The sequence below is a fragment of the Homo sapiens genome, chromosome 9 (genome assembly GCF_000001405.40).
Source record: "Homo sapiens chromosome 9, GRCh38.p14 Primary Assembly".
NCBI classification, from domain to species: domain Eukaryota; kingdom Metazoa; phylum Chordata; class Mammalia; order Primates; family Hominidae; genus Homo; species Homo sapiens.
The window spans coordinates 30,175,497-30,183,712 of record NC_000009.12 but is presented as its reverse complement, the minus strand read 5'-3'; the positions used below and the strand labels follow the sequence as shown (position 1 = coordinate 30,183,712).

Sequence of the window (8,216 nt, the reverse complement as noted above, 5' to 3'; positions counted from 1 at the left end):
TTCAGAAAGAAAGGAATTTTCCCACATTTATAGCAACTATATGCATTATCTTCTGGTAAATTTTTGGCTTGTCTTTCTAGCTTCAAGAGGCTTTTCAAAGCCTAATCTGAGATTCCTTATTACAACTTTCAATAAAGTAAATTTAAGAAAGCCTATAAGGCAAATATGACAGTTTTATGTATAAACTTGGCCAGGATATATTACCCAGTAATTTGATCAAACATGGATCTTGGTGTTGCTGTGAAGGTATTCTGTAGATGTGGTAAACATTTATAATCAGTTGACCTTAAAAGTAAAGGAGAGTACCTTCATAACGTTGGTGGATGTTTTTTAATCACTTGAAAGGCCTTAGAGCAAAACTGAAGTTTATCAGAGTTTTGAAAAGGAAATACTGCCTCAAGACTGCAACATATTAATAAGAATGGCTATTAATAAAAAAGTAAAAAAAAACAGATGCTGGCAAATTTGTGAAGAAAAGGAAACACTTATACACTTCTGGTGAGAATGTAAATTAGTTCAGCCGTTGTGGAAAGCAGTGTGGTGATAAACAGAACTACCATTCGACCAAACAATCCCATTATTGGATATATACCGAAAGGAATATAAATCATTTTACCATAAAGATATATGCACATGTATGTTTACTGCAGAACTATTCACAAGCGAAGACATGGAATCAACCTAGATACCCATCGATGGTAGATTGGATAAAGAAAATGTGTACATATACACCATGGAATACTACATAGCCGTGAAAAGAATGAGATCATGTCCTTTGCAGCAACATTATCTGGAGATCATTATCCTAAGGAAAATATCTCAGGAAGAGAATACCAAATATAGCATGTTCTCACTTGTAAGTGGGAGCTAAAATATTGAGTATACATGAACACACACAAGGGAATAATAGACAAGGGGACCTACTAGAGGATGGAGGGTGGGAGGAAGGTGAGGATTGAAAAACTACCTTTTGTATACTATGCTTATTACCTGGGTGACAAAATAACCTGTACACTAAACCCCTGTGACATGCAATTTACCTATATAACAAAGCTGCACATATACCCCTGAAACTAAAAGTTTAAGGAAAAAAGACTGCAACATTAGCTTTTGCCTGCAAATTACCAGCATGCCTTTCAGATTCGAGACTTGCTGACTCCCAAAATTATATAGGTGAATTCTTTGAAATAAATAATACATATTTATATATATTCTGTTTCCTTAGAAAACCCTGACTGACACCAATTTTGGTACCAGGAAGTGGGGAGATGCTTTAACAAATATTAAAAATTTAGAAATGGCTTTGGAATTATGTAATGAACAGAAGCTAAGTATTTCTGAGACACAAAATAGAAAATACTAGATTTCTGAGATTATTGGTATAAATATAGATTGTTAAAGGCAATTGTGAGAGCTCAAATAAGTAATAACTGTACATAATGCTTTCATCATTATAAAGTTACATGTATTGTCACGAATAAGGAATTGCTAAGAAACATGAATGTTGGTCAGGCACGGTGGCTCACGCCTGCAATCCCAGCACTTTGGGAGGCGAGGCGGGCAGATCACGAGGTCAGGAGATCGAGACCATCCTGGCTAACACGGTGAAACCCGTCTCTACTAAAAATACAGAAAATTAGCCGGGCATGGTGGCAGGCACCTGTAGTCCAAGCTACTCGGGAGGCTGAGGCAGGAGAATGGCGTGAACTCGGGAGGTGGAGCTTGCAGTGAGCCGAGATCGAGTCACTGCACTCCAGCCTGGGGCACAGAGTGAGACTCCGTCTCAAAAAAAAAAAAAAAAAAGAAAGAGAAATATGAGTGTTACATGTGCTTCTAGTGAAAGCTCACATGGAAATGAGGCACATAGAACTGGATGATGAAAGGAAGAAGATCCTTATCATGAAGTGGCAGGAAACTTGCCTCAACTGTGTTCTACCATTTGATGGAAAGTAGATCCTGTCAGAAATAAACATGGATACTGAGCTGAGGAGATTTTCAGGCAAATTGTGGAAGGTATGACCTTACTTCCTCCTTACAGCTTATAGTAAAATGTAAAAAAAAAAAAAAATAGAGAGAGAGGAAGAAAGAAAGAGAAAGGAAGGAAGGAGGGAAGGAAGGAGAAAAGAAAAGAAAAAAAGAAAAGAAAAAAGAAAGAAACAGAGAAAGGACATTTTAATAAAAAAGAACTAAAACTTGATAATTTGGAAAATTCTCAACCTCTCCAGATAACCAAGATGAGCAAGCATGTGGTTAGAAGAATGCCAAGGGTATAGCTAGACAACTTTTGCTAAAAAGATTATGTGTGTGACTCATGGATTCAATCAACTATCTCAGCAGAAGCCAAGAATAAAGATGAGTTATCCAAAAAATGTCTTTGGAGGAACCTCTTGTCTAATGGCTTGGACCCCCATGAATTGCACAGGCGACCAATAAGGTTTTTGAAAATGTTGCATTGGCAGAAACATTGCTAGCCTGGAATTAAAGAGATTATGATATTTTACATCTGAATTATAAACTTCATTCAGTGAAATTTGATCCTGTTTTACTATATTTTTTTCCAGTGTCTGTACTACTGCTTTTAGCTACTGTGAGGTTTCTTTCTGTTCTCTACTTAGGAATGCTTATTATCTATAGATAAATTTTTCTAGATGATTCTTTTATATTATTACAATTTTCCCCTTTCTGTCTTCTAACAATTTACTTTGGCAAAGCTGGAATTTATATATCACTAATATTCTCAATATTCTATACGTAATTATGTATTGTTATTTTTATTATTAACTGTATGATTATTTTTAATCTGATACTAATCCCATTTCGTTGAGTATATGTTGTCTATAGTTTCATTTGAGGTAGATTTCAAGTGTTGTGTTAAGTGTTTATAAAGTCACCTGTCCTCTCATTTTAACTCCCAGAGAGATGGGCTGGGGTATTTGTTTCTGACTTTGTTGGGGAGGATGTAGCTGAGAATGGATGTTAGATAAGTATCTTTCTAGATTATTGAAACACTTTATTGGTACTCAAAACCTGCATTTTAGTTCTAGTCACTCTCCTGTTGTATTAGTTTATTTTAGAAATTATTATTTTATATTTGCTGAATATTTTATTGGTTTTCAGTGTTTCTTCCTATAGTTTATAAGGAATTTAGAGTTTGTTTTCAGTAACCTTCACAACTCTAATTCATCTAGAGTTCCCAGTAAAATTGTGACAGTGCCCATATTACTTTTTACAAAAGCAATGAAAAAGAGCTGAAATGCCTCCTGACCATTTTCCAAACTGATTTATCTAAAAGCCACACAAATGAACACATTTCCCAGAGAAATCAAGTTTCTTATAAGAGATATCTGGCACTGACATATTATTCAATAAAACTAAGTACTTCCTAAGGCAACCTATCTAGAGCATTTCTCAAGAGGACTACATTACTAACTGCTGAAAGAATCCTCCGCAAAGTAAACAAGTTCACAAAATCAAGAATAGCAATGAAAACATATCTATATCTATTGGTGCTTTGTTTTAAAGTCAGGATTAAATACAAAAACTTACTTACATTGCAAGTATGTCTTTATGTATTCAGGTGCATATTATATTGTGCCTTATTTCCAATTTTGTTACTGATTTAGAAATATAAAGATTATAGTTTTTATATTTATTTGTTAACTTTTTTCTGTTGAAAATATATTTGTTTAACATGATTGTATGTTTTAGTGTCAAATATTAAGAATCTGATTTTAAATAGGTATTCTTTTGAATATTTTAAATGATTATTTATTAGAATATAGATGCTGCTTTTTATTTATATCATTAAAAATATGGAGTGTAGTGCACTTTATTAATTGAGAAGGAACTGCAACAATAATTACAAAATAATGTATTAAATTAAATTGGGAGCAAATGTATGCACATGTGTAATAGAGACAGGGAATGGAAGCAAATAGGAAGTACAAAAATTGCTTGCAAAGTGTCTTAGTTTGGGCTGCTATAACAAATTACCATAGAGTGAGTAGCTTATTAACAATATTAATTGATTTCTCATAGCTCTGGAAGCTAGAAGCCAAAGATCACGGTGCTAGCATAGTCAGGTTCTGTTGAGAACCCTCTTTCAGCTTACAGCCTGCTGTCCTTTCATTGTATTCTCACAGGCTGGAAAGAGAGTAAGAAAGCTTTCTGGGGTCTCTTTTATACCAGCATTAATCCCATTCATGAAGACCCCACCCTCATGACCTAAATTTACATCTGTAAGTGTCTATCTCTCAAAACCATGAAACTTGGGGTAAGAATTTCAACATATGAGTTTTGCAGGGAAGTAAACGTTCAATCGATAACGCAGAGGTTAACAAAAATCTGGTGAGTGTTATTTGACTGTTATTTCTGGGAATAGCATTGTAAATAAACTAAAAAATAAAATGCTTTCTACATCTTTTCATTAATAAATGAGATATTTTCTATATTTTCTAGAATATTCATGACACACTGAGTATTCTACCAAGAATCTGTAATTGCATACGATAGGAATTTGAATATTTTTGTTTCTCATCTTTAGTATGAAATTAGTAACATTTGATTTTCATGGATATGTGCTTTTTATATAAAACAATATTGAGGACTCTTTCTATTATCAAGAAATTTCTGTCTAGATTCTAGGACTAAAGAAAAAGAGAGATATCATAAATAATCAGTTTTCCTGGACATTGTTAAAGAAGCATTTGAAACAGTTGTGCCACTTCAAAACATTGTCCTAACAGTTCCCTTCCCTCCCAGACTAACACAGACCCTTAGTCTACATAAGAAGAGTGAGAAAAAATCTGCAGGGTCATAAGTTATCAACATAACACAAGGGAAATGGAGAAATTCCAAGAAAATTACTTAGGGCAGTTGGGGTTTAGGTTGCTTCATGTTGGGTGAAGCTAGCATGTGCTCAGACAATGGACCTGTGATAGTTGCCTATGCAGATGTGAGCAGGCAGGAGCCAGGACTGACATGGTTAGGTTCTTGGTGTTTCTTTTCTGTCTTATTTAAAGTTAACCTGTTCTTTCTTTCCTCACTCCATTGAGATTTAAATTTACAATGTGATGGTCACTTCTAAATTAATGAAAAAGATGTATAAATAACCATGACTAAAGGACTGGAGGAGGATCCTTTTGTAGTTCATAAGTGTGATGATTAGGTTTTCACATTTGTGTGTGAGATGTATCTCCCTCAAACATTTTATGACATCGGCATATTATCCTTCTGATGTAAAAAGAAAAAAAAGTACTAGAGGAAATACACTTGTCTAGTAATATAGAAGTAGACCTGGCCATCTCAAATCATGTAAAAAAAATAGAAATTAATAAATCAACTAAAGTTTACATTGTTTTTTATTTTCTGCTCATACACTTGTCTCATATTTTTTGTCTTCAAAAACATTCTCAGAGACAAGTACATTTAGAGATGATCCCAGAATTGTTTGTATAGAAATAGAAAGTGAGAATCTCATTATCAAGAGGATTTGCCATACAATTGTTGTGGAACTCTTACTAATATAAGACTTACACTTTATAACAAGCTACGATATTTCCTACTACAAAATATATTTTCAAACAATAACTTTCTAGCTTTCTGGCCCTTTGACATGAAAAGAATCAAAAGAAAAAAAGTTTCTTGTTACATCCTATTTTCTATTCTTTGATTTTGTTTCATTTTTTCCTGAGTGCACACTGGGCATGAGGCCTTTCTCACATTTTAAGATTAAATAAATTGAAAAAATATCTTTTCTTAACAATAAGTTGAAGTGAGAAACTAATTTTTCACTCTAACATGTAAATCTTTATCTTTTATGTTTAAAATTTATTTTTATTCTCTCAATTATGGAAATATATATCATGATATCTGCATGCATTGAATGAGATGCAGTGAAATAAATAATTTTCTTTGAATTGTGTATCATATGCTTTGATGTCAGTGAGAAGTCTTGTGCTCTTTTCCACATCTTGACTTTGCCATTTATACAGCTTACAGTTGTAGTTCACAATTACAATAACAGGAGAAATAACATGATTCTTGCTGTGGTCATTGTTATTGAAGTGTTTTTCAACAACTTATCATTAAACTTGAGGAAAAGCTTTGTGTTTTTCTACATTTTATTTAACTTTCAATATGCTATAAAAACCCCGACAGATGATAGATATTAACTTCTATCAACAAGAATTCTTCACATGGAAATAAGTGGCTAATCAGAACAACAATTTGTATGTATTACTACCATCACAAGTGAAACTGTAGGTATTTTAGTTGACAAGTTTGACCTACTGGATTCTAAGATTAAAAGTGAAATGAGGTCAAAAATACATTGTGCTAAAGAGCACCATATATAGAACATTATCTCCAGTACTTCATTTTACAAATAATAAAAGAGGCTCAGAAATTTTAAGGTTTTGTTTATAGTAAGAAAGTTAGTGCCTTAGAGAGCTCTAGGCTAGACTTCATTCACCTGCATGTTTGCCTAGCGGTTTTTCATTTTTCATGCTCTCTCAAGTATACAGAGATCAAAGCTAAATAAAGAAGCAAAAAGGACTGTAACTTACAGTGTCTCATAAATTATGTTTATATTTGAGAAAGAATAGGTAAGTTAAAATATAGATGCAAACAATTTCATAAAGCTATCTTTTCTCTAACTTTACAGAATAACAAAATCACTGAATGATAACTTCCTCAAATTTATTTTCAATCTGCAAACATATCTACACAACCATTTTTTATTTTCTTGTTTCTTTTGGTTGCAACAGAATAGTTTCTTAGACCTGTTGAAAGCAATGGTCTCCACTTGTGCTTCTGTGTCTCATCCACAGACAAGAGTCTTCTCTGGACCCTCACTCACTTTTCTGTACACTATTCATCTTTCCCTCTCTGGAAAATCACTCCTGTGATTCTTTAAATACACTTGAGCCTCTCTCACCATAAAGGAAGTCTTTGAACACCCTACTGTTCTCAACTACTCCATTAACTAGCTAGCTCCTCTTCTTCACCGTCATCATGAAAGAATAGCATGTATTTGCTCTCTGCATGTCTTCACCGCTCATTCACGCTTAAACTATTAGAATGTGATTTACAGCACTAAACTCAAATTGCTCAGAAAGCATCAGTGGCTTCTTCATTACTACAATCAATAAAGTGTTCTCAGTGATACCCTTCCTTGATTGTGCTAGCATCTAAGAATTTTTATCATTTCTTCGTCAAACTTTCTTCTTCACTGGCATAACTCATTCTGTAATTCTGGTTGTCAATTCACGTTTTTTTGGTTTCTTCTTTTTTAATGTCTTTTTTGGGGGGCTCCACTTCTTGAACATGTGTGTTAAATATTGTTCACAGTTCTTTCTATGGACTATTTTCATTTTACATTTCCTAGATGCAGTCATTCATTACCATAGTGACTTCAATAATCATTTGATGACTTCAAATCAAACAGCTATAACATTAGTGCTGATGTTCAAATCCATACATCTAGGAATGGTTTGCCATGTCCAGCTATTTGTTTTACAAACTACATGAACTATGATTCCAAAAATGAATACAACTTCTCCTTTTACAAAAATGCTCCTATTATTGAATACCATCTTTCTATCCTCATCATTCACACCAGCTCTTTCCACCACAATTCATATCAATAAATTACAGAGCCCCATTTTTTCAACTCCCACATATATTTTCTAACAACATAGGATACACATTTAATTCCCTAGATTAACTCAACAACTTTCTAAATAATCCCACTGTCTCTAGTCTTACTTACAACTAATCCACACTTCACAGGGAGATCAGGATGATCTTTTTAAATGCAAATGTAACCGTATTGTTCTGCTCCACAAAATCTTTCCATGACTCCCTACTATGTTTAAGATAAAAGCCATAGATCATAGCCATAGATCATAGATAGTTTGTAAGGTTTTCTCTACACTTATGTTTCCAGTTTACCTCTAATCACTATCTCCGACTACAAAATAGAATTATTTTGTATTCTTCAGATCTTTAAATGCTTCACGCTTGCTCTCATGTTTTCTCATTCCTTATGAGTCTTGTTTGGAATATACTGTGCCCCTGTCTTTCATAGCCTGTAGCCCCTATGTGTTACCCTAGCAAACTGTAGTCCCTCTCCTTTAACTAGTAGTGTAACAGAGTATAATTAATGACTTGTCTGTCAACTCTAAAACATACTGTTAGCTCCATAATGTCGGGAC

The 8,216-nt window shown here is 33.7% G+C and overlaps 1 non-coding gene across 1 annotated transcript; it reads left to right on the top strand.

The window, feature by feature from the left end:
• Window positions 1-5,135: 5,135 nt before the first annotated feature.
• On the top strand, window positions 5,136-5,238 carry LOC124902344 (small nucleolar RNA U13). The gene has a single exon (XR_007061920.1). It is a non-coding gene; the product is annotated as a small nucleolar RNA U13 (small nucleolar RNA).
• Window positions 5,239-8,216: the final 2,978 nt, after the last annotated feature.